This window comes from Homo sapiens, chromosome X, assembly GCF_000001405.40.
Source record: "Homo sapiens chromosome X, GRCh38.p14 Primary Assembly".
NCBI lineage: Eukaryota > Metazoa > Chordata > Mammalia > Primates > Hominidae > Homo > Homo sapiens.
This window is the reverse complement of record NC_000023.11, coordinates 147,200,788-147,228,601: the sequence shown is the minus strand read 5'-3', so window position 1 is coordinate 147,228,601 and position 27,814 is coordinate 147,200,788. Positions and strand designations below refer to the sequence as shown.

The 27,814-nt window shown below is 38.9% G+C and overlaps 1 long non-coding RNA gene and 2 other non-coding genes across 8 annotated transcripts in view; 2 read left to right on the top strand and 1 right to left on the bottom strand.

Moving 5' to 3' along the window:
- LOC105373347 (periphilin-1) overlaps positions 1 to 27,814 on the bottom strand; it is a 90,847-nt gene that overhangs the window by 43,294 nt on the left and 19,739 nt on the right. For 5 of the 6 annotated variants that reach the window (XR_005647084.2, XR_005647083.2, XR_005647087.2 and 2 more), the window contains exon 2: positions 10,308 to 10,382. This is a non-coding gene — a long non-coding RNA (periphilin-1). Of the gene's footprint in view, positions 1 to 43; positions 202 to 10,307; positions 10,383 to 27,814 lie in introns of all 6 variants that reach the window. The other variant, XR_938514.3, reaches the window with a different exon arrangement.
- Positions 2,650 to 2,776, top strand: MIR513A2 (microRNA 513a-2). The gene has a single exon (NR_030232.1). It is a non-coding gene; the product is annotated as a microRNA 513a-2 (primary transcript).
- Positions 15,011 to 15,139, top strand: MIR513A1 (microRNA 513a-1). The gene has a single exon (NR_030231.1). It is a non-coding gene; the product is annotated as a microRNA 513a-1 (primary transcript).

Here is a 27,814-nt window from a genome sequence, read left to right as displayed (position 1 = left end):
TACTAAGAGACATCTTATGTATTTCAGAAATATTCTTCCTTACCTCCATTGTGGAGTAGTACTCCAATTTTCCCTTGGTAGTCAGAATCACCTGCTCCAGGCCACACAGTAACTCCCTTCTCTGACCTCTTAAAAAATTAGGAAATATTGTATTGACTTTTCTCTTTCCGTGTTTTCAAGATATCTCTTCTTAAACTATGGCTGTTACGAGAGAAAGAGAAAGAGAAAGAGAAAGACAATCAAGCAGAGCCAGACTGAAAGAGACAGACAGACACGACTGGAGCAGTGAGTCTTTTACACTTCTGTGCTGAAAAATGTGAGAGAGCTTGATGCCTCCTTTCAGGTAAACCCTATCAAATTATAGTCAAGTGTTGGCAAATATGGGTTGTGTAATTTGAGTTTGTTTCCCATCTCCAAACAACCACATGCCCCTCCCCAACTCAAGAACTTGATGGGAAATGTAGGTTACAATGAAATAGAAGAAAACTACTCTACTTTCTTTCCTAATAGTATTACCATTCAACTACATGTGGCTACCCTTCATCGTATCTATTTCCATCCTTCTTGCACTCATAGGATTTCCTTGGGCTTTGAGGCTCAGATACCCTGATATATTTGTTGGTGATTGTGAGTTTTTAGCATGTGTTCTAGCACATTTGTTTGTGTTTATATGGTGATGGGGGGAGTAATACATGTATCTGTGTGCACTTTGGTGTATGTGCCCATACATTTGTGTGTGCACGGGGCATGTAGCATGAGGATTTTGTTATGTTGTTTTTGTTTGAGGTTGGATCTCTGTTTTGTTTTTGTTTTGCTTTTGCTATTCTTATCAGTTTATTTCATGTGTATGGTTTTGCTTTGTTTGTTTGACTTTGGCTCCTTTGGGATTATATGTGTTTGTTTGAATTTGTTTTCAGATTTGCCATGCTCTTGGTCATTGGTGTTTTGATTGGTATTTCTTTACGTACATTGCTTGCAATTTTGTATTTTCTTTTTGTTGTTATTTGGATTTCACTGTGTGATTTCGGTTATATTTTAATTTGCATATTAATTTGCACATATGTTGTTGGAACTTTGCATTGTGTATTGCTAGGGTTCTTTCGATGGCTTATCAATTCTGTTTATGGTTAGTTTTTTTGTATTCATATTTTGTTGTATTCTCATTCTTTTTAATATTGTTTACTTGGGCGTATATGTGTCTGTGTATGTGGTTTCATGGAGCAGTGGGTCTTAGAATCTCCTGCTATGATGTGCCAGGTTGCTGGAAAGACTCCTTTGAAGCTACTGAGGGGTGGGTGATGCAGAGGAAGAGAAGTAGTACCTGTACTGGTGTTTGAAGGAGGGAGTATTGTGTCTGTGTATTTTTTTCCCCTTGAGAACTTTTTGGGGAGATAGCTCAAGGGCCCAAATACTTAAGAGAAAAGCTAAATTGATTGATTGATTGATTGATATATATAAATATTTCTGTAGAATCTAACTTTGGTTGCTTTTCATGGAATTCAAAAAATGCAGTAAAATGCTTGAGATATTTAGAATCATTCTGTTCAGTGAACTATGGCTCCTTGACCGTGACTCAGCACTAACACTGAGCTATGTGCTTCTCTGTCTGTCTTTCAGGGGTTATGTTTAGTAGATGAATGAGAATGGTACATAGAAACACTCGGTCTTGACGATCATGTGGTCTGACTTCTACATGCTATCAAGGGCCAGAGCTAGAAGAATCCAGGTCTTTTAATTTGCCTCAGCTCATGATTATTTGTGTACATCACACACACACACACACACACACACACACACACACACACACACACATATATATATATATAGTTTTTTTTTGTTTTTTTTTTTTGAGAAAGAGTCTAACTAACTCTGTTGCCCAGGCTGGGGTGCAGTGGCATGATCTCGGCTCACTGCAACCTCCACCTCCCGGGTTCAAGTGATTCAGTGGCATGATCTCGGCTCACTGCAACCTCCACCTCCCGGGTTCAAGTGATTCTCCTGCCTCAGCAGCTGCGGTTACAGTTGCCCACCACCACACCCGGCTAATTTTTTGTATTTGTAGTAGAGATGGAATTTCACCACGTTGTCCAGGCTGGTCTCAAAATCCTGACCTCTGATGATCCACCAGCCTCAGCCTACCAGAGTGATGAGATTATATGTGTGACCCACTGCACCTGGCCTGATATTGAGGATTTTTAATGAGACAAGCAAATTAACGCGAAAACTAATGGGATAATCCAGACAAGGATTACACATCTCTGGGGAAGAGATGAAGTGAAATGTTATATTCTGGCTAAGCCTAAAATTTGTGTGTTAATTAGCCATTCGCGGTGGTATGTGCCTTTAATCCCAGCTACTTGGGAGGCTGAGGCAGGAGAAGTGCTTAGACACAGAAGGGGGAGGTTGCAGTGAGCCGAGATCACACCAATGCATGCCAGTCTGGGCGACAGAGCCAGACTTCATCTGAAAACAAAAACAAAAACAAAACAAAAATCTGCATGTTAAAATCTCACTTGGGGCAGGATGAAAAGGGGAGCGCCGGGGGCTACAAGTTGCATTGTCCCTTGGCATAAATCTTGGTGGCCATGCCAAGGCATACACCTATAGGGACTTGAAAAAAAACGGCATGAATAGGGAGCATTTGTTCTTGGATGCCACATTCAGCCATTCAGTGTGCAGTGCCTTTCACAGGGAGGTGTCATTTATGTGAACTAAAATATAAATTTCACCTTTCTGAGAAGGGTAATGTACAGCATGCACTGCATATGTGGTGTCCCTGAGGATGGGGGTGTAGCTGCGAGCATGGTGATGCCTGTTTTGCATCCTGTGCACCCACTCTTCAGTGCTGGGCTACTTCAGGGAACTTTTTGTGCCTTCTAAATGACTATACATAGGAACTGTGGACTCCTGAGAAAACGCATGCACTTCGGTTCCTTAAGAATTTATCTATTTTTGCCAAATGAGGCTTGGCTCAAATAAGAAATACATTGGATAGAGGCCACAGCCATTCTTCGTCAGCTGGAAGGCTATATTCCAGATTCCTAAACTTTTCTCACTTATCAAGAAGTCATCATTTGCAAGGATTCTCCTTTAGCGCTCCCAAAAGACTCTCCTGCCTCTCAGGTCCCTTCATTGCTGATCCACAGTGTCCATTTTCTGTCAAAGACTAAAACATTTTCTCATAGACTTTTAAAATACCTTTCAAAGCCTTCAGTCACCAATTTATGGAGGGTTAAGCGTAGTCCACCCAAGAATATTTCACCCTTTTCCATTATCTTTTTTCCCTGTTTTTTATGTTTGAACAATGGAAGCGTATGATAGAGTTGTTACTCAAGAGATATCTCCTAGTCTTCTCTCCCCATTTTCTGTCTTTTTTTTTTTTGAGATGGAGTCTTTCTTACTCTTTCACACAGGCTGGAGTGCAGTGGCGCCATCTCAGCTCACTGCAACCTCTGTCTCCCGGGTTCAAGCGATTCTTCTGCCTCAGCCTCCCAAGTAGCTGGGATTACAGGCGTGCGCCAACACACCTGGCTAATTTTTGTATTTTTAGTAGAGACCAGGTTTCACCACGTTGGTCAGACTGGTGTCGAACTGCTGACCTCGTGATCCACCCACCTCACCCTCCCAAATTGCTGGGATTACAGGCGTGAACCACCATGCCCGGCCCCATTTTCTTGTGTTGACACTTCTTAACTCAACCTAATGGAGAGAGAAAGAGGCAAATACGCACGTGCACAAGAGTAAGACAAGTGCCAGATGGTGTGAGGCCATCTGCAGCATGAAACTAGTATGCATTTTTTAGAAGTAGGTTATATATAAATAAGCTACTTATATTGGGGAAATGTGTTTAAAAATGTTATAAATAGTAAGTGATTGATTAATACAATTTTGATTCCAACGGAAATAGAGGTTACAGCATATACACCGAAAGAGAGAAACTATAAAAAAACAATTACTATATGGTTACAGGCAGGATTTTAGTTTATGTTTGTTTTTTTAGGTTCAGAATGGATGAATATGTATAAGACCATTAATGTCTGGAAGTAAAAAAAATCAGTTGAAGTATCTTTTTCAATATTAAAACAATTGTACTAATAGAATATATAGAACTTTTTTCATTGGAGGCGGGGGGACATTCTGAATAATAAAAAAAAATTCTGTCCGTTGGAAATACTGTATGTGTGTAGAAATTTCCAAAGTGATAACTCTTTTTAGCATATAATTTCTAAAACTGTATTAGAGAGAATTCATGTGTACTTAAATAAGTGATATCGTAAAATGAAACAAAGACAGAGAATTTAGTTATATCTCTTTTAGGATTTCTCAAAAAGAGTACTATCTCTTTTAGGATTTCTCAAAAAGAGTACTATATTCACTGGTATTTATGGTTTTTCTTTCAGTGAAATACTTTTTTGTATAAGAATGCTTGTGATTTTTGTACATTGATTTTGTATCCTGAGACTTTGCCGAAGTTGCTTATCAGCTTAAGGAGATTTTGGGCTGAGACAATGGGGTTTTCTAGATATACAGTCATGTCGTCTGCAAACAGGGACAATTTGACTTCCTCTTTTCCTAATTGAATACCCTTTATTTCCTTCTCCTGCCTGGTTGCCCTGGCCAGAACTTCCAACACTATCTTGAATAGGAGTGGTGAGAGAGGGCATCCCTGTCTTGTGCCAGTTTTCAAAGGGAATGCTTCCACTTTTTGCCCATTCAGTATGATATTGGCTGTGGGTTTGTCATAGATAGCTCTTATTATTTTGAAATACGTCCCATCAATACCTAATTTATTGAGAGTTTTTAGCATGAAGGGTTGTTGAATTTTGTCAAAGGCTTTTTCTGCATCTATTGAGATAATCATGTGGTTTTTGTCTTTGGCTCCGTTTATATGCTGGATTACATTTATTGATTTGCGTATATTGAACCAGCCTTGCATCCCAGGGATGAAGCCCACTCGATCATGGTGGATAAGCTTTTTGATGTTCTGCTGGATTCGTTTTGCCAGTATTTTATTGAGGATTTTTGCATCAATGATCATCAAGGATATTGGTCTAAAATTCTCTTTTTTGGTTGTGTCTCTGCCCGGCTTTGGTATCAGAATGATGCTGGCCTCATACAATGAGTTAGGGAGGATTCCCTCTTTTTCTATTGATTGGAATAGTTTCAGAAGGAATGGTACCAGTTCCTCCTTGTACCTCTGGTAGAATTCGGTTGTGAATCCATCTGGTCCTGGACTCTTTTTGGTTGGTAAACTATTGATTATTGCCACAATTTCAGCTCCTGTTAGTTATTGGTCTATTCAGAGATTCAACTTCTTCCTGGTGGTCTATTCAGAGATTCAACTTCTTCCTGGTTTAGTCTCGGGAGAGTGTATGTGTCGAGGAATGTGTCCATTTCTTCTAGATTTTCTAGTTTAGTTTATTTGCGTAGAGGCGTTTGTAGTGTTCTCTGATGGTAGTTTGTATTTCTGTGGGATGGGTGGTGATATCCCCTTTATCATTTTTTTATTGTGTCTATTTGATTCTTGTCTCTTTTTTTCTTTATTAGTCTTGCTAGTGGTCTATCAATTTTGCTGATCCTTTCAAAAAACCAGCTCCTGGATTCATTGATTTTTTGAAGGGTTTTTTGTGTCTCTATTTCCTTCAGTTCTGCTCTGATTTTAGTTATTTCTTGCCTTCTGCTAGCTTTTGAATGTGTTTGCTCTTGCTTTTCTAGTTCTTTTAATTGTGTTGTTAGGGTGTCAATTTTGGATCTTTCCTGCTTTCTCTTGTGGGCATTTAGTGCTATAAATTTCCCTCTACACACTGCTTTGAATGTGTCCCAGAGATTCTGGTATGTTGTGTCTTTGTTCTCGTTGGTTTCAAAGAACATCTTTATTTCTGCCTTCATTTCGTTATGTACCCAGTAGTCATCCAGGAGCAGGTTGTTCAGTTTCCATGTAGTTGAGCGGCTTTGAGTGAGATTCTTAATCCTGAGTTCTAGTTTGATTGCACTGTGGTCCGAGAGATAGTTTGTCATTCTTATACACCAACAACAGACAAACAGAGAGAGAGCCAAATCATGAGTGAACTCCCATTCACAATTGCTTCAAAGAGAATAAAATACCTAGGAATCCAACTTACAAGGGATGTGAAGGACCTCTTCAAGGAGAACTACAAACCACTGCTCAAGGAAATAAAAGAGGATACAAACAAATGGAAGAACATTCCATGCTCATGGGTAGGAAGAATCAATATCGTGAAAATGGCCATACTGCCCAAGGTAATTTACAGATTCAATGCCATCCCCATAAAGCTACCAATGACTTTCTTCACAGAACTGGAAAAAACTACTTTAAAGTTCATATGGAACCAAAAAAGAGCCCGCATCGCCAAGTCAATCCTAAGCCAAAAGAACAAAGCTGGAGGCTTCACACTACCTGACTTCAAACTATACTACAAGGCTACAGTAACCAAAACAGCATGGTACTGGTACCAAAACAGAGATCTAGATCAATGGAACAGAACAGAGCCCTCAGAAATAATGCCGCATATGCCGCATATCTACAACTATCTGATCTTTGACAAACCTGAGAAAAACAAGCAATGGGGAAAGGATTCCCTGTTTAATAAATGGTGCTGGGAAAACTGGCTAGCCATATGTAGAAAGCTGAAACTGGATCCCTTCCTTACACCTTATACAAAAATCAATTCAAGATGGATTAAAGATTTAAACGTTAGACCTAAAACCATAAAAACCCTAGAAGAAAACCTAGGCAATACCATTCAGGACATAGGCATGGGCAAGGACTTCATGTCTAAAACACCAAAAGCAATGGCAACAAAAGCCAAAATTGACAAATGGGATCTAATTAAACTAAAGAGCTTCTGCACAGCAAAAGAAACTACCATCAGAGTGAACAGGCAACCTACTCATCTGACAAAGGGCTAATATCCAGAATCTACAATGAACTCAAACAAATTTACAAGAAAAAAACAAACAACCCCATCAAAAAGTGGGCAAAGGACATGAACAGACACTTCTCAAAAGAAGACATTTATGCAGCCAAAAACACGTGAAAAAATGCTCACCATCACTGGCCATCAGAGAAATGCAAATGAAAACCACAATGAGATACCATCTCACACCAGTTAGAATGGCAATCATTAAAAAGTCAGGAAACAACAGGTGCTGGAGAGGATGTGGAGAAATAGGAACACTTTTACACTGTTGGTGGGACTGTAAACTAGTTCAACCATTGTGGAAGTCAGTGTGGCGATTCCTCAGGGATCTAGAACTAGAAATACCATTTGACCCAGCCATCCCATTACTGGGTATATACCCAAAGGACTATAAATCATGCTGCTATAAAGACACATGCACACGTATGTTTATTGCGGCATTATTCACAATAGCAAAGACTTGGAACCAACCCAAATGTCCAACAATGATAGACTGGATTAAGAGAATGTGGCACATATACACCATGGAATACTATGCAGCCATAAAAAAGGATGAGTTCATGTCCTTTGTAGGGACATGGATGAAATTTGGAAATCATCATTCTCCGTAAACTATCGCAAGAACAAAAAACCAAACACCGCATATTCTCACTCATAGGTGGGAATTGAACAATGAGATCACATGGACACAGGAAGGGGAATATCACACTCTGGGGACTGTGGTGGGGTGGGGGGAGGGATAGCAATGGGAGATATACCTAATGCTAGATGATGAGTTAGTGGGTGCAGCGCACCAGCATGGCACATGTATACATATGTAACTAACCTGCACAATGTGCACATGTACCCTAAAACTTAAAAAGTATAATAAAAAAATAATAACAAAAAAAAGAAATACTTTTTTGTATCATTCATCCGTGTTTCTACCAACTTTGTATATATTTAAGGTGTACAACATGATGTTTGGATATATGTATATATTATACAATGATTAAATCAAGCTAATTAAAACACAACATAAAATATTTAGGTGAAAGTCTAAATACAAATTACAAGATCTCTGTGGTATGCAGAATAACAAACAAACAGTCCCCCTCCAAAAGATGTTTACAGAGTAACCCCTGAACTCAAAAACATCACATTTTGTGGTAGAAAGAAATTTGTAGATATGATTAAATATTTTGAGATTGGGATTATCCTAGATTATCTAGGTGAGCCCAACATAATCACAGGGTTCCTTATAAGTAGAAGGAAGGTGGTTAGAATAAGAGAAACATTGGAAAAGGTATAAAGGCCATGAGCCAAAGAATGGAGGAAGCAAGTAGAATCTTCTAAAGACAATCAAGTAGATTCTCCTCTAGAGCCAACAGAAGGAACAAAGCCCTGCCAATGCCTTCATTTTAGCCGAGGTAAAGCTAATTTATATTATTTCTGACCTTTAGACTCTAACATAATAAATTTGTGTTGTTGTAAACAACTAAATTTGTGGCAATTTCTTACAGTATCAGTAGAAAACCAAAAACATCTGTAAATATACTAAGAGAATCAAATAATTACTAAGTAAGTGGAGAGGAGTATCATATTTATCGATTGAAGGATTCAAATCTATAAATTTACAGAGTTCTATTGCTCTATAGAGTTAATGAAATTCCAGCCAATGTCCTAGAAGGACATTTGTAGACATTAGCATGATGATTCTAAAACTGATATAAAAGCAAATAAACTAGAATATCCAAAACAAACAATCTGAAATATCCAAAACAAACAATCTGAAAGAGAATCACAAAGCTGGAGAATTTACACTTGTAATTTTCAGCTTTACTGTCTAACTAGATTAGCCAATATAGTGTGGTACTGAAGGATGGACAAATTGAATGGAAAGACCAGAAATATCTATGTATGTCACCAATTCATTTTGACTAAGCTGTAAAGTCAATCTAATGAAGAAATGAAATAATAATATTAATATTTACACAACGAGATGCTGGGAAATGTGATATATATATGAAGAATATGAATCTTGATCCATATTTCAAACCATATACAGAAATTAAATTAACACAATCTTAGGCCAAAAGGTCAAACTATCATATTTCATTAAAATAAATGAGAGAAAATATTTTTGGCCATTAAATTATTATCTATGATATCAAAATATAAAAATAAAATTGATTAAAAATAGACTTTTTTAAAAAGTCAAACTTTGTCTTCAAATAAGACCACTGAGATAACAAAAATGCAAACTACAGAATACTAAAAATGCATGTAATTTAATAATATAATAAATAACATATATCAGCATAAATAAGAACATATAATTTAACACTCTTGTGTATACCAAGAATTTTTCTACTTACTTTTTAAAAATTATCTGTTTTTCAATAAAATGTCAGTTCTGTTAGCATGGGTTGAGATGGTTTTGATCTGTGTTGTCCCAACACATGAACAAATCTGGTTTAATGGTTACATATTCATTCTGGACCTTCCTTGCTATACTATAATTGTGTCACATCGTTAATGTGAATATATTAGTTTATCCTCATAATTTATAATAAATTAACATTTATTTTGGTTAGTAGGAACATGGAAAGGCAAGAACTCTAACTGAACAGGCTGAGTATATAGATTTAGGGAACTCAAAAGAGGCAAAATGACTGCCAAAAACAAATTTTACATCTTTCCAAGTTATTCTTATATCAGAATTCTGTCAGAGCAAATTATATTTTTATTGATATCTTTCTGACCATGAGGGTAATTCCTATTTATTGAAGAACAACTTGGAAAACACATACAAGGTATGAAAAGCATGAAAAGCAGTAATGAAATAATAGCATAATACCATTAACATCATAATGTGGATACAGTGTTTGATAAAATTAAGATGTGGATCTTTCCACATATTTATCTGTATTTATACTTATGTTTTAGGTGTGGTCAACAATTTTGTGCTATTTTCCTATAAATGATTTCAAATAATGCATCATGAATATTTTATGAAAAATGATTTTATGTACCACGTTTCATTATATCATACATTTTTTTCTGATTGATTTCTGACTTTTATAGCATTTTAAATATTTTAAATGTTTTCTAAGTCTTTTCTACTTTTTCTCAGATTCACTAAACAATTCCATTTTAGTGTTTTTTTTTTTCCAGTATTTAATTCCACCAGAATTCCACCCCCATGGTCCAACCACCTCCCACCAGGCCCCACCTCCAACACTGGGGATTACAATTCAACCTGAGATTTGGGTGAGGACACACACAGAGCCAAACCTTATAATAATGCCCTGGCCTCTCCCAAATCTCATGTCCTTCTCACATTGCAAAATACAATCCTAACAGTCCCTCAAAGCTTTAACTCACTCATTGAAGGATTAATTCAAAAGTCCAAGTCCAAAATCTCATCTGAGATAAGGCTAATCCCTTCTGTCTGTGGGCCTGTAAAAAAGAAAAACAAACAAACAAAAAACAGTTAATTACTTCTAAGACACAATGTAGTTAAATAATTGGGAGAAATCAGCCAATAGAAAGGGGCTACAGGTCCTGTGTAAGTCTGAAACCCAGCAGGGAAGTCATTAAATCTTCTTAAAGCTCCAAAATGATCTCCTTCGATTTCATGTCCCACATCCAGGGTACACTGGCACAAGGAGTGGGCTCCCAAAGCCTTGGGCAGCTCCAATCCTGTCACTTTGCAGGGTTCAACCTTCAATGGGCTGGCATTGAGTTCCTATGCTTTTTCCAGGCCCAATTACAAGCTGTCAGTGGATCTACCCTTCTGGGGTCTAGAGGATGGTGGCCCTCTTCTCATAGCTCCACTAGGCAGTGCTCCAGTGTGGACTCAGCATGGGGGCTCCAACCCCACATTTCCCCTCTGCACTGCCCTAGTGAAGGTTCTCCATGAGGGCATCACCTCGGCAGCAGGCCTCTGCCTGGACATCCTTGCTTTTTCATACATCCTCTAAAATCTAGGCTGAGGCTCCCAAGTCTCAACTCTTTACTGTGTACCACAGGCTTAACACCAGGTGGAAGCCACCAAGGCTCATGGTTGGCACCCTCTGAACTAGTGGCTGAAGCTGTATCAGGGACACTTTGGGCTGAGGCTGGCGCTTGAGCACCCAGGATATGGGGAGCAGTGTTCCGAGGCTACACGGGGCAGTGGGGCCCTGGGTGTGCCCCATGAAAGCATTTTCCCCTCCAAGGCTTATTGCCCTGTGATGAGAGGAAGGGCTACTTGCAGAGGTCTCTGAAATGCCTCAGTGACTTCCCCATTGTCCTGGGTATTAACATTCAGCTCTTTGTTACTTATGCAGATTTCCGCAGCTGGCTCCAATGCCTCACAAGAAAATGAGTTTTTATTTTCTACCATGTGGCCAGGCTGCAAATTTTCAAAAGTTTTACACTCTGCTTTCCTTTTAAGTGCCAGTTTTACATCATTTTTTTTGTTGTTGTTGACATAATTGAACATAGGCTATTAGAAGGAACCAGGCCCCATCTTGAATGCCATGCTGCTTAGAAATTTCTTCTACCAGAAACCCTAAATCATCACTCTCAAGTTCAAAAGTTCCACTGATCCCTAGGGCAGGGGCACAATGCCACCAGTTTCTTGGCTAATCCATAACAAAGGTGACTTTTAATCCACTTCCCAACAAGTTCCTCATTTCCATCTGAGACCTCCTCAGCCTGGCCTTTAGTGTCCATATCACTATCAGCAATTTAATGACTGCCATTTAACAATTCTTTAGGAAATTTCAACTTTTCCTTCATCTTCCTGTCTCCCTCCGAGCCTTCCAAACTGTGTCAACTTTTGCCCGTTACCCAATTCAAAAGCTGTTGCCACATTTTTAGGTATCTTTATTTGGCTCATGGTTCTTTAGGCTGTACAGGAAGCATGGCTGGGAGGCCTCAGGAAACTTTCAACCATGGCAGATTCAAAAGAGGAGCTAACACCTCACATGGCTAGAACAGGAGGAAAACAGAGGTTGGGTAGTTGCTACACACTTTTTTTTTTTTTTTTTTTTTTTTTGAGACGGAGTCTCACTCTGTCGCCAGGCTGGAGTGCAGTGGTGCGATCTCGGCTCACTGCAACCTCCACCTCCCAGGCTCAAGTGGTTCTCCTGCCTCAGGCTCCTGAGTAGCTAGGACTACAGGCGCACACCACCACACCCAGCTAATATTTTTGTTATTTTTAGTAGAGAGGGGGTTTCAAGATGTTGGTCAGGATGGTCTCGATGTTCTGACCTCATGATCTGCCTGCCTTGGCCTCTCAAAGTGTTGGGATTACAGGCGTGAGCCACTGCACCCGGCTGTTACACAGTTTTTAACAAGCAGACCTCGTGAGAACTCACTATCATGAGAACAGCACCAAAGGGATGGTGCCAGACCATTCATGAGAATTTCACCCCCATGATCCAAACAACTCCCACAAGGAGCCACTTCAAACATTAGTCGATTACAAGCAAATGAGGAAATTTACCACAGAGATAGGAACTGTAAATTTCTTAGAAATTTACAATTAGAAAAAAGCAAAACAAACTATTTTGAGAGATAAATATTTCATTTGATGGGCTCACAATTATCTCTATAATAAACACAAAAATGACAAGATAATTTTTTTGGACAAAGGACATTTAGATTCTTCACCCCATTATAAATATAACAATGTTAACACATTTCCTCAGGCAGATAAAATACCAGGCAGAAACATGAATCACCACATAAAAATTCGAAACCCAGAAAATGGTAAAGATGAAGATATGGATGTGAAAGGGAAATATCTCAGTCCCAAAATCGCTAAGTTAAAGGGAAAATTCAAGCTGCCTCCCATTTTATTCAGAGTCATCCCTCTGCTCACAGAGATAAATGTTTATCTGATTGCCTTCTTTGGAAACCTTCATCAGTAAACTCAAAAGAATGCAACCATTTCTCTCTCATCTACCTGTGACCTGGAAGCCTCCTCCCTACTTTGAATTGTCCCACCTTTTTGGACCGGACCTAACCAACATTCATTTTACATATTTTGACTGATGTCTCATGTCTCCCTAAAATATTTAAAACCAAACTGTGCTCTGACCACCTTGGGCACACGCCCTCAGGACCTCCTGAGGCTGGGTAATGGGTGTGCATCCTCAACCTTGGAAAAATTAACTTCTGAAATTAACTGAGACCTGTCTCAAATGTTCAGGGTTCATAAACTAGTAAAATATTCTTTGAAGATAGATAGACTGTGATGAATTAAATATGAACACTGAAAACTCCAGAGCAACCGCTATTCTTTTAAAGTGACCAACTAATAAGCCAAGAGTGCAGAAAATATAACTGAATGATAAAAATACTAAATCTACCATCAGGCAGAAAAACAGGAAAATTAGGAATTACAAAAGGATGAAGTACAGAAAACAACTAGAAAGCCAGTAGATTTAAACGCATGTACATAAATAATTATAATAAATGATATAAATGCTTCAATTAAGAGAGACACTGTCAAATTATGTAAAAATAAGAAACAGCTGTACACTTTCTAAAACGAAACCATTTTAAATATGAAGACCTACGTGAAAGTTGGGTAAAAGGATGGAAAATATATTAATGCAAACAGTAAATATTAAAGCTAAAAAATCCTAGCACTATTAATTGTTAATCACACAGCGAGAGAGAGAGACTGAGCCCAAATAAATGTACTATAAAGAACCATGGAACTAAGAAAAATTAAATAGCATTTCTTGTCTTCCAGCCCATTATCTGTCTTGTCTGTCTCTCGTATTAATTTCTATGGGTTCTTCCCACTGCATAGCCTGAAGAAGAAATTAAATTTCTGCTCTCTCCAACCTGGTACTGTCTGACTCTTCTCTAGTAGTTTGGATCCAGGTGGTTGTATTCTGTGGTTTTTCCATTGGAATTAGGGTCTGTGCAGCACAGCTGGAGTTTTAGGACCATAGAGAGCTTTGGTGAGTGGTTGGCCCTGCCTACTTAACTGTAATTTTAAAAGTTTTTGGGGTTTTTTTGTTTGTTTGTTGTTTTTTTTTTGAGACAGGGTCTCACTCTGTAACCCGGGCTGGAGTATATTGGCACTATCTCCGCTCACTGCAACCTCTGCCTCCCAGGTTCAAGTGATCCTCCTGAGTAGCTGTGATTACAGGCGCGAGCCACCACACCCCGCTAAGTTTGTATTATTAGTAGAGATGGTGTTTGACCATGTTGGCCAGGGTGGTCTCAAACTCCTGGCCTTAAGTGATATGCACACCTGGACCACCCAAAGTACTGGGATTACAGGCATGAGCCACCATGCCCGGCCGACTCTGAAGATTTTTTTTTTTTTTTTTTAGATGGATTTTCACTTTTGTTGCCCAGGCTGGAGCACAACGGCACAACCTCGGCTCACTGCAACCTCTGTCTCCTGGGTTCAAATGATTCTCCTGCCTCAGCATCCAGATTAGCTGGGGTTACAGTCACCCACCACCACACCCGGCTGATTTTTTGTATTTGTAGTTGAGATGGAGTTTCACCACGTTGTCCAGGCTGGTCTCAAACTCCTGACCTCAGATGATCTACCAGCCTTGGCCTACCAAAGTGCTGGGATAACAGGCATGAGCCACTGTGCCTGGCCTGATTTTGAGGATTTTTAATGAGACAAGCAAATTAACGTGAAAACTAATGGGATAATTCAGACAAGGATTACTCGCCTTTGGGGAAGAGATGAAGTGAAAAGCTCTATTCTTGATCAGTCTAAAAATCTGCGTGTTAATTAGCCATTCGAGGTGGTGTGTGCCTTTAACCTAAGCTACTCGGGAGGCTGAGGCAGGAGAAGTGCTTGAACCCAGGAAGCGGAGGTTGCAGTGAGCTGAGATCACGCCAATGCATGCCAGACTGGGTGACAGAGCCAGACTTCATCTGAAAACAAAAACAAAACAAAAATCTGCATGTCAAAATCTCACTCGGGGCAGGATGAAAAGGGGAGTGCTGGGGGTTACAAGTTGCATTGTCCCTTGGCATAAATCTTGGTGGCCATGCGAAGGCATACACCTATAGGGACTTGAATAAAAACAGCATGAAAAGGGAGCATTTGGTCTGGGATGCCACATTCAGCCATTCAGCGTACAGTGCCTTTCACAGGGAGGTGTCATTTATGTGAACTAAAATATAAATTTCACCTTTCTGAGAAGGGTAATGTACAGCATGCACTGCATATGTGGTGTCCCTGAGGATGGGGGTGTAGCTGCGAGCATGGTGATGCCTGTTTTGCATCCTGTGCACCCACTCCTCAGTGCTGGGCTACACTTCAAGGAACTTTTTGTGCCTTCTAGACGACTGTACATAGGAATTGTGGACTCCTGAGAAAACGCATGCACTTAGGTTCCTTAAGAATTTATTTTTGCCAAATGAGGCTTGGCTCAAATAGGAAATACATTGGATAGAGGCCACAGCCATTCTTCGTCAGCTGGAATGCTTTACTCCAGATTCCTAAATTCTCTAAACTTTTTTCACTTATCAACTAGTCATCATTTGCAAGGATTCTCCTTTAGCGCTCCCAAAAGACTCTCCTGCCTCTCAGGTCCCTTCATTGCTGATCCACAGCGTCCATTTTCTGTCAAAGACTAAAACATTTTCTCATTGACTTTTAAAATACCTTTCAAAGCCTTAAGTCACCAATTTATGAAGGATTAAGCATAGTCCACCCAAGAATATTTCACTCTTTTTCATTATCTTTTTTCCCCGTTTTTTAAGAATATGTATGAACAATGGAAGGGTATGATGGAATTGATACTCAAGAGATATCTCCTAGTCTTCTCTCCCCATTTTCTTTGTGTGTGTGTGTGTGTGACAGAGTCTTGCTCTTTCGCCCAGGCTGGAGTGCAGCGGTGTGATCTGGGCTCACTGCAACCTCTATCTATCTCCCAGGTTCAAGGGATTCTCCTTCCTCAGCCTCCCGAGTAGTTGGGATTACAGGTGTGCCCCAACACACCTGGCTACTTTTTGTATTTTTAGTAGAGATGGGGTTTCACCATGTTGATGAGGCTGGTCTCGAACTGCTGACCTCCTGATCCACCCACCTAAGCCTCCCAAATGGCTGAGATCACAGGCGTGAGCCACCACGCCTGGTCCCATTTTCTTGTGTTGACACTTCTTAACTCTTAACCTAATGGAGAGAGATAGAGGGAAATACACACACACACAAACACACAAAAAAAGAGAGAGAGGGCAAAAGAGTAAGACAAGTGCCGGATGGTGTGAGGCCATCTGCAGCATGAAACTAGTATGCATTTTTGAGAAGTAGGTTATAAATAAGCTACTTATATTGCAGAAATGTGTTAAAAATGTTATAAATAGTAAGTTATTAATACAAATTTGATTCCAATGGAAATAGAGGTTATAGCATATACATCAAAAGGGAGAAAGTATAAAAAACAATTACTATATGGTTACAGGCAGGATTTTAGTTTGTTTTGTTACGTTCAGAATGGATGAATATGTTTAAGACCATTAATGTCTGGAAGTAAAAAAACAATCAGTTGAAGTATCTTTTTCAATATTAAAACAATTGCTCTAATAGATTACATAGCATCTTTTTCATTGGGGGCGGGGGAACATTCTGAACAGTAAAAAAATTCTGTCAGTTGGAAATGCTGTATGTACATAGAAATTTCCAAAGTGATAACACTTTTTAGTATATAATTTCTAAAACTGTATTATAGTGAATGCATGTGTACTTATATAATTTTAAGTCATATCCTAAAACGAAAGAAGAGAATTTAGTTAGTATCATATCTCTTTTATGATTTCTCAAAAGAGTACTCTATTCACTGTTATTTGTGGTTTTTCTTTCAGTGAAATACTTTTTTGTATCATTCATCCGTGTTTCTACCAATTTATTAAGGTTTAACTGACATAACTTTTGTATATATTTAAGGTGTACAACATGATGTTTGGATATATGTATATATTATACAATGATTAAATCCACCTAATTAAAACATAAAATAATATAAACATAACATATTTAGGTGAAACTCTAAATACAAATTATAGGATCTCTGTGGTATGCAGAATAACAGTCCCCCTCCAAAAGATGTTTACAGAGCAACCCCTGAACTCAAAAACATCACATTTTATGGTAGAAGGAAATTTGCAGATATGACTAAATATTTTGAGATTGGGATTATCCTAGATTATCTAGGTGAGTCCAACATAATCACAAGGGTTCTTATAAGTAGAAGGAAGGTGGTTAGAATAAGAGAAACATTGGAAAATGCTACAGTATTCAATAGAGGTGGAGGTAAAGTCCATGAGCCAAAGAATGATCTTCTAAAGACAATCAAGTAGATTCTCCTCTGGAGCCAACAGAAGGAACAAAGCCCTGCCAATGCCTTCATTTTAGCTGAGATAAACCTAATTTAGATTTCTGACCTTTAGACTCTAATATATTTGTGTTGTGTAAACAACTAAATTTGTGGCAGTTTGTTACAGTTATCAATTAAAAACCAAAAATATCTGTATGCTAAGAGTGCAAGTAAACACACTTAAAAAGTAAATAATTATTAAGTGGAGAGGAGTATCATATTTACGGATTGAAGGATTCAAATCTATAGATTTATAGAGTCTTATTGATCTATAGAGTTAATGCAATTCCAGCCAATGTCCCAGAAAAATATTTGTAGACATTAGCATGATGATTCCAAAGCTAATATAAAAGGTGAATAAACTAGAATATGCAAAACAATCTGAAAGAGAATCTCAAACTTGGAGAATCTACACTGGTAATTTCCAGATTTACTCTGTAACTAGTTTAGCCAATGTAGTGTGAGCCTCAAGAAAGGATGGATGAATAGAAATAGAAGGACCAGAATTACCCATACATGTCACCAATTCATTTTGACTAAATTGTAAAGTCAATCTAATGAAGAAATGATAGTATTTAAACAATATGATGCTGGGAAAATGTGATACACATATGAAAAACATGAACTTTGATCCATATTTCAAACCATATACAGAAATTAACACACTCTTAGGCCAAAATGTCAAGCTATAAAATTCTATGAAAAAAAAATGACAGAAAATATTTTTGACCATTAAATTATATATGATATCAAAATATAAACATAAAATTGATTAAAAATAAGTTGATAAAATAGACTTTGAAAAAATTAAAATTGGTCTTCAAAGAAGACCATTGAGATAATAAAAGTCAATCTATAGAAGACTAAAAATATATGTTATTTAATAATATGGTAAATAACATTTAATATATAATGTAATAACATATATCAGCATAAATACATATAATTTAGCACTCCTGTGTATACTAAGAATTTTACCAGTTTTAAAAAATTATCTGTGTTTTTCAATAAAATGTCAGTTCTGTTAGCATGTGTTGAGGATGTTTTGATCTGTATTGTAGTCCCTGCACATGAAAAAAATCGCATTTAATGCATTCATTCTGGACCTTCCTTGCTATACTGTAATCTGTCACATCGTTAATGTGAATATATCTGTTTATCCTCATAATTTATAATAAGTTAACATTTATTATGGTTAGTAGTCAGGAACATGGAAAGGCAAGAAGTGTAACTGAACAGGCTGAGTATATATAGATTTAGGGAGTCAAAAGAGGAAAAATAACTGCCAAAAACAAATTTTACACTTTTCCAAGTTATTCTTATCAGAATTCTGCCAAAGAAAAATACATTTTTGTTGATATCTTTTTTTTTCTGACCATGAGCATAATTCCTATTTATTGCAGAATAACTTGGAAAACACATAAAAGGTATGAAAAACTTGAATAGCAGTAATGAAATAATACCATAATACCAGTAACATCATAATGTGGATATAATACTTGATAAAATTTATAGGTGGATCTTTCCACATATTTATCTGTATTTATACTTAGGTTTTAGGTTGAGGTCAACAATTTTGTGCCATTCTCTTATAAATGATTTCAAATAATGCATCATGAATATTTTGTAAAAACATGCAGTAGCCTAGTAAATAATTTTGAAACATAATTTTACATGCCATGTTTCATTCTAGCATACAATTTTTTTTCTGATTTTTGACTTGCTTTTATAGCATTTTAAATATTTGAAATGTTTTCTAAGTGTTTTCTACTTTCTCTCAGATTTACTAACATATTCCACTTTAAATAGTCATTGTTTTCCACTATTTAATTCCACCCCCATGATCCAATCACCTCCCACCAGGCCTTACCTCCAACATTGGGGAACAATCCAACCTGACATTGGGGTGGGGACACAGATCCAAACCTTATAATTCTGCTCTGGCCCCTCCCAAATCTCATGTCCTTCTTACGTTGCAAAATACAATCCCAACAGTCCCCCAAGCATTAACCTAATTGAAGCATTAACCTAAAAGTCCACAATCCAAAGTCTCATCTGAGACAAGGCTAATCCCTTCTGCCCATCAGCATGTAAAATAAAAAAAAAAGTTAATTACTTCTAAAATACAATGGAGGCATAAGTTTTGGGTAAATACTTGGGAGAAATCAGCAATAGAAAGGGGCTACAGGTCCTGTGCAAGTCTGAAACTCAGCAGGGAAGTCATTAAATCTTAAAGCTCCAAAATGATTTCCTTCGATTTCATGTCCCACATCCAGGGCACACTGCTGCAAGGGTTGGGCTCCCAAAGCCTTGGGCAGCTCCAACCCTGTGACTTTACATGGTTTAGCCCCCAGTGGGCTGCCACTGAGTGCTTACGCGTTTTCCAGGCCTAACTACAAGCGGTCAGTGGATCTATGATTCTGGGGTCTGGAGGATGGTGGCACTCTTCTCAGAGCTCCACTAGGCAGTGCTCAGGGTGGACTCTGTGTGGGGGTGCCAATCACACATTTCCCCTCTGCACTGCCCTAGTAAAGGTTCTCCATGAAGACTCCACCCCTGCAGCAGGCTTCTGCCTGGACATCCATGCTTTTTTATACATCCTCTGAAATCTAGTCCGAGGCTCCGAGGCCTCAACACTTTCTCTGTGCACCCACAGGCTTAACACCAAGTGGAAGCTACCAAAGCTCATGGTTTGCACCCTCTGAACCAGTGGCTCAAGCTATATTGGGGTCCTTTGGGCCAAGGCTGGCACTGGGGCACCCAGGCTACCGGGAGCAGTGTCCAGACACTGCACAGGGCAGTGGGGCCCTGGGTGTGGTCCATGAAAGCATTCTCCCCTCCTAGTCTTCTCGGCCTGTGATGGGAGGAGGGATTACTGCAGAGGTCTCTGAGATGACTTTGAGGCCTCCCCATTCTCTTGGATATTAACATTCAGCTCCTTGTTGCTTAAGCAGATTTGCACAGCTGGCTTGAATTCCTCACCACAAAATGAGTTTTTATTTTCTACCATGTGGCCAGGCTACAAATTATCAAAACTTTCATACCCTGCTTTTCTTTTAAATATAAGGGCCAGTTTTACATAATTTTTTGTTGTTGACACACATGAGCATAGGCTATTAGAAGCCACCAAGCCCCATCTTGAATGTTATGATGCTTAGAAATTTCTTCTACTAAAAATCCGAAACCATCGCTCTCAATTTCAAAAGTTCCACAGATCCCTAGAGCAGGGGCAAAATGCCACCAGTTTTTTGCTAATCCATAACAAAGGTGACCTTTGCTCCACTTCCCCATAAGTTCCTCATTTCCATCTGAGACCTCCTCAACCTGTTCTTCAGTGTCCATATCACTATTAGCAATCTAGTGACAACCCATTAAACACTTATTTAGGAAATTTTAACTCTTCCTTCATCTTCCTGTCTTCCTTTGAGCCTTCCAAGCTGTTTCAACCTCTGCCTGTTACCCAATGCAAAAGCTGGTTGCACATTTTTAGGTAACTTTAAATGGCTCATGGTTCTGTAGGCTGTACAGGAAGCATAGCTAGGTGGCCTTAGGAAACTTTCAATCATCGAATAGGCAAGGGAGAATCTAGCTCCTCACATGGCCAATACAAGAGGAAGAGAGATGGGGGAGGTGCTACATTCTTTTTAACAACCACATCTCCTGAGAACTCACTATCATGAGAACAGCACCAAAGGGATGGTGCTAGACCATTCATGAATGTTCCACCCCCATGATCCAATCACTTCCCACTGGGGCCCACCTCCAACACTGAGGATTACAATTCAACTTGAGATTTAGGTGGGAACACAGATCCAAACAATATCACTATTGGAAAAAGGAGACATTACGGATGATCAAATGAGGAATTTTAGCACAGAGATAGGAACTGTAAGAAATGGTTGTGTTAGAAAACAGCAAACTATTTTGAGAGATGAATTTTTCTTTTAATGGGCTCACAATTATCTCTATAATAAACACAAAAATGACATAATTTTTTCAGACAAAGAACATTTAGATTATTCATCCCAGTAAAAATGCATTACAAGACATCATAACACATTTCCTCAGGCAGAGAAAATACCAAGCAGAAACATGAATCTGCACAAACAAAAATCCAGAAAATGGTAAAGATGAAGATAAGGATGTGACAAGGAAATATCTCAGGGCCCGAAAAACACTAAGCTAAAGGAAATATTCAAGCTGGGCACTGCTTAGGGCAAACCTGCCTCCCATTCTATTCATAGTCATCCCTCTGCTCAGAGATAAATGCGTGTCTGACTGCCTCCTTTGGAAAGGTGAATCAGTAACTCAAAAGAATGCAATCGTTTGTCTCTCACCTACCTGTGGCCTGGAAGCCTCCTCCCCACTTTGAGTTGTCCCACTTTTGCTTTGAGTTGTTCCTCCTTTCTGGAGCAGACTGAACAAATGTTTATCTTACATATGTTGACCGATGTATCATGTCTCCCCAAATGTATAAAACCATCCTGTGCTCTCACCACCTTGGACATAATGTCACCAGGACCTCCTGAGTCTGTGTCATGGATGCGCATCCTCAACCTTAGCAAAATTAACTTTTTAAATTACCTGAGACCTGTCTCAAATTTTGGGGCTTCACACAGAGGGCATTTTATTATTTTATTCATCAGTCAATAATAACAGTGTAAACAAATATGTGTGTGGGGATTAGAACATTAATAAATGTAATTAAAAATATGACAAAGGATGGGGTGAATTGTATGCATATTATAAGATTTTTAAACTGTACATAAACTAGTATAATACTCTTTTTTTTGGTAACGCACACACAAGACACTACAATCAATGAGTTTTTTTTGCTTTTTTCATTGCATTTTTTTATTATACTTTAAGTTCTAGGGTACATGTGCACAACGTGCAGGTTTGATACACAGGTATACATGTGCCATGTTGGTTTGCTGCACACATCAACTCATCATTTACATGAGGTATTTCTCCTAATGCTATCCTTCCCCCAGCCCCCCAACCCCTGACAGGCCCTGGTGTGTGATGTTCCCTGCCATGTGTCCAAGTGATCTCATTGTTCAATTCCCACCTATGAGTGAGAACATGCGGTGCTTGGTTTTCTGTCCTTGGGATAGTTTGCTGAGAATGATGGTTTCCAGCTTCATCTGTGTCCCTGCAAAAGACATGAACTCATCCTTTTTTAGGGCTGCACAGTATTCCATGGTGTATATGTGCCACATTTTCTTAATTCAGTCTATCATTGATGGACATTTGGGTTGGTTCCAATTCTTTGCTATTGTGAATAGTGCCACAATAAACATACATGTGCATGTATCTTTATAGTGGCATGATTTATAATCCTTTGGGTATATACCCAGTCATGGGATTGCTGGGTCAAATGGTATTTCTAGTTCTAGATCCTTGAGGATTCACCACACTGTCTTCCACAATCGTTGAACTAATTTACACTCCCACCAACAGTGTAAAAGCATTCCTATTTCTCCACAACCTCTCCAGCATCTGTTGTTTCCTGACTTTTTAATGATTGCCATTCTAACTGGCGTGGGATGGACTTTTTAATGATCACCATTCTCATTGGCCTGAGATGGTATCTCATTGTGTTTTTGATTTGCATTTCTCTGATGAACAGTGATGATGAGCATTTTTTCATGTGTCTGTTGGCTGCATAAATGTCTTCTTTTGAGAAGTGTCTGTTCATATCCTTTGCCCACTTTTTGGGGGGGTTGTTTTTTTCTTGTAAACTTGTTTCTTTGTAGATTCTGGATATTAGCCCTTTGTCAGATGAGTAGATTGCAGAAATTTTCTCCCACTCTGTAGGTTGCCTGTTCACTCTGATGGTAGTTTCTTTTGCCATGCAGAAACTCTTTAGTTTAATTAGATCCCGTTTGTCTATTGTGGCTTTTGTTGCCATTGCTTTTAGTGCTTTAGTCACAAAGTCCTTGCCCATGCCTATATCCTGAATGGTATTGCCTAGGTGTTCTTCTAGGGTTTTCATGGTTTTAGGTCTAAAACTTAAGTCTTTAATCCATCTTGAATTAATTTTTGTATAAGGTGTAAGGAAGGGATCCAGTTTCAGCTTTCTATATATGGCTAGCCAGTTTTCCCAGCACCATTATTAAATACGGAATACTTTCCCCATTTCTGGTTTTTGTCAGGTTTGTCAAAGATCAGATGGTTTTAGGTGTGTGGCGTTATTTCTGAGGCCTCTGCTCTGTTCCATTGGTCTATATCTCTGTTTTGGTACCAGTACCATGCTGTTTTGGTTACTGTAGCCTTGTAGTATAGTTTGAAGTCAGGTAGCATGATGCCTCCAGCTTTGTTCTTTTGGCTTAGGATTGTCTTGGCAATGTGGGCTCTTTTTTGGTTCCATATGAACTTTAAAGTAGTTTTTCCCAATTCTGTGAAGAAAGTCATTGGTAGCTTGATGGGGATGACATTGAATCTATAAATTACCTTGGGCAGTATGGCCATTTTCATGATATTGATTCTTCCTATCCATGAGCATGGAATATTCTTCCATTTGTTTGTGTCCTCTTTTATTTCATTGAGCAGTGGTTTGTAGTCCTACTTGAAGAGGTCCTTCACATCCCTTGTAAGTTGGATTCCTAGGTATTTTATTCCCTTTGTAGCAATTGTGAATGGGAGTTCACTCATGATTCGGCTCTCTGTTTGTCTTTTATTGGTGTATAGGAATGGTTGTGATTTTGGCACATTGATTCTGTATCCTGAGACTTTGCTGAAGCTGCTTATCAGCTTAAAGAGATTTAGGGTTGAGACGATGGGGTTTTCTAAATATACAATCATGTCATCTGCAAACAGGGACAATTTGACTTCCTCATTTCCTCATTGAATACCCTTTATTTCTTTCTCTTATCTGAATGCCCTGACCAGAACTTCCAACACTATGTTGAATAGGAGTGGTGAGAGTGGGCATCCTTGTCTTGTGCCAGTTTTCAAAGGGAATGCTTCCAGTTTTTGCCCATTCAGTATGATATTGGCTGTGGGTCTGTCATAAATAGCTCTTATTATTTTGAGATATGTTCCATCAATACCTAGTTTATTGAGTGTTTTTTAGCATGGAGGGCTGTTAAATTTTATTGAAGGCCTTTTCTGCATCTATTCAGATAATCATAGGGTTTTTGTCCTTGGTTCTGTTTATGTGGTTATTACATTTATTGATTTGCGTATGTTGAACAAGCCTTGCATCCCAGGGATGAAGCTGACTTGATTTTGGTGGATAAGCTTTCTGATGTGCTGACAGATTTAGTTTACCAGTATTTTATTGAGGATTTTTGCATTGATGTTCATCAGGGATATTGGTCTAAAATTCTCTTTTTGTGTGTGTCTCTGCCAGGCTTTGATATCAGGATGATACTGGCCTCATAAAATGAGTTGCGGAGGATTCCCTCCTTTTCTATTGATTGGAATACTTTCAGAAGGAATGATACCAGCTCCTATTTGTACCTCTGGTAGAATTCGGCTGTGAATCCATCTGGTCCTGGACTCTTTTTGGTCGTTAGGTTATTAATTATTGCCTCAATTTCAGAGCCTGTTAGTTATTGGTCTATTCAGAGGTTGAACTTCTTCCTGGTTTAGTCTTGGGAGTATGTGTCCAGGAGTTTATCCATTTCTTCTAGATTTTCTAGTTTATTTGTATACCTGTGTTTATAGTATTCTCTGATGGTGGTTTGTATTTCTGTGGGATCAGTGGTGATATCCCCTTTATCATTTTTTATTGTGTCTATTTGATTCTTCTCTTTTTTCTTCTTTATTAGTCTTGCTAGTGGTCTATCAACTTTGCTGATCTTTTCAAAAAAGCAGCTCCTGGATTCATTGATTTTTTGAAGGGGTTTTTGTGTCTCTATCTCTTTTAGTTCTGCTCTGATCTTAGTTATTTCTTGCCTTCTGCTAGCTTTTGAATGTGTTTGCTCTTGCTTCTCTAGTTCTTTTATGACGTTTGTTAGGGTGTCGATTTTAGATCTTTCCTGCTTTCTCTTATGGTCTTTTAGTGCTATAAATTTCCCTCTCCACACTGGTTTAAATGTGTCCCAGAGATTCTGGTACATTGTGTTTTGTTCTCATTGGTTTCAAAGAACATCTTTATTTCTGCCTTCATTTTGTTATTTACCCAGTAGTCATTCAGGAGCAAGTTGTTCAGTTTCCATGTACTTGTGCGGTTTTGAGTGAGTTTCTTAATCCTAAGTTCTAATTTGATTGCACTGTGTTCTGAGAGACAGTTTGTTGTGATTTCTGTTCTTTTACATTTGCTGAGGAGTGCTTTACTTCCAACTATGTGGTCAATTTTAGAATAAGTGCAATGTGGTGCTGAGAAAAATGTATATTCTGTTGATTTGGGGTGGAGAGTTTTGTAGATGTCTATTAGGTCTCCTTGTTGCAGAGCTGAGTTCAAGTCCTGGATATCCTTGTTAACTTTCTGTCTCCTTGATCTGTCTAATATGGACAGTGGGGTGTTAAAAAGTCTCCCATTATTATTGTGTGGGAGTCTAAGTCTCTTTGTAGGTCTCTCAGTACTTGTTTTATGAATCTGGATGCTCCTGTATTGGGTGCATATATATTTAGGATAGTTAGCTCTTCTCGTTGAATTGATCCCTTTACCACTATGTAATGGCCTTCTTTGTCTCTTTTGATCTTTGTTGGTTTAAAGTCTGTTTTATCAGAGACTAGGATTGCAACCCCTGCTGTTTTTTTTGTTGTTGTTGTTGTTTTGTTTTTTTGCTTGGTAGATCTTCCTCCAGTCCTTTATTTAGAGCCTATATGTGTCTTTGCACATGAGATGGGTCTCCTGAATACAGCACACTGATGGGTCTTGACTCTTTATCCAATTTGCCAGTCTGTGTCTTTTAATTGGGGCATTTAGTCCATTTACATTTAAGCTTAATATTGTTATGTGTGAATTTGATCCTGTCATTATGATGTTAGCTGGTTATTTTGCCCGTTAATAGATGCAGCTTCTTCATAGCATCGATGGTCTTTACAATTAGGCATGCTTTTGCTGTGGCTGGTACCAGTTGTATCTTTCCATGTTTAGTGCTTCCTTCAGGAGCTCTTGTAAGGCAGGCCTGGTAGTGACAAAATCTCTCAGCATTTGCTGGTCTGTAAAGGATTTTATTTCTCCTTCACTTATGAAGCTTAGTTTGGCTGGATATGAAATTCTGGGTTGAAAATTCTTTTCTTTAAGAATACTGAATATTGACCCCCACTCCCTTCTGGCTAGTAGGGTTTCTGCTGAGAGATCCGCTGTTAGTCTCATGGGCTTCCCTTTGTGGGTAACTCGACCTTTCTCTCTGGCTGCCCTTAACACTTTTTCCTTCATTTCAACCTTGGTGAATCTGACAATTATGTGTCTTGTGGTTGCTCTTTTCAAGGCGTACCTTTGTGGCCTTCTCTGTATTTCCTGAATTTGAATGTTGGCCTGCCTTGCTACGTTGGGGAAGTTCTCCTGGCTAATATCCTGAAGAGTGTTTTCCAACTTGGTTCCATTCTCCCCATCACTTTCAGGTACACCGATCAAACGTAGATTTGGTCTATTCACATAGTCCCATATTTCTTGGATGCTTTGTTTGTTTCTTTTTACTCTTCTTTCTCTAACTTTGTCTTCTTGCTTTATTTCATTAATTTGATCTTCAATCACTGATACCCTTTCTTCCACTTGATCGCATTGGCTACTGAAGCTTGTGCATGCATCATGTAGTTCTCGTGCCATGGTTTTCAGCTCCATCAGGTCATTGAAGTCTTCTCTACACTGTTTATTCTAGTTAGCCATTCGTCTAATATTTTTTCAAGGTTTTTAGCTTCCTTGCGATGGGTTCAAACATCATCCTTTAGCTCGGAGAAGTTTGTTATTACCGACCTTCTGAAGCCTACTTCTGTCAACTCGTCAAAGTCATTCTCCATCCAGCTTTGTTCTGTTGCTGGCGAGGAGCTGCGATCCTTTGGAGCAGAAGAGGTGCTCTGGTTTCTCCCCATCTTTGTGGTTTTATCTACCTTTGGTCTTTGATGTTGGTGATCTACAGATGGGGTTTTGGTGCAGATGACCTTTTTGTTGATGTTGATGCTATTTCTTTCTGTTTGTTAGTTTTCCTTATAACAGTCAGGTCCCTCAGCTGCAGATCTGCTGGAGTTTGCTGGAGTTCCACTACAGACCATGTTTGCCTGGGTATCACCAGTGGAGGCTGCAGAATAGCAAATATTGCAGAACAGCAAATATTGCTGCCTGATCCTTCCTCTGGAAGCTTCGTCCCAGAGAGGCAGCCACCTGTATGAGGTGTCTGTTGGCCCCTACTGGGAGGTGTCTCCCAGTTAGGCTACATGGGGGGTCAGGGACCCACTTGAGGAGGCAATCTGTCCTTTCTCAGAGCTCAAACGCCATGCTGGGAGAACCACTGCTCTCTTCAGAGCTGTCAGACAGGGATGTTTAAGTCTGCAGAAGTTGTCTGCTGCCTTTCGTTCAGCTATGCCCAGTCCACAGAGGTGGAGTTTAGAGGCAGTAGGCCTTGTTGATCTGCTGTGGGC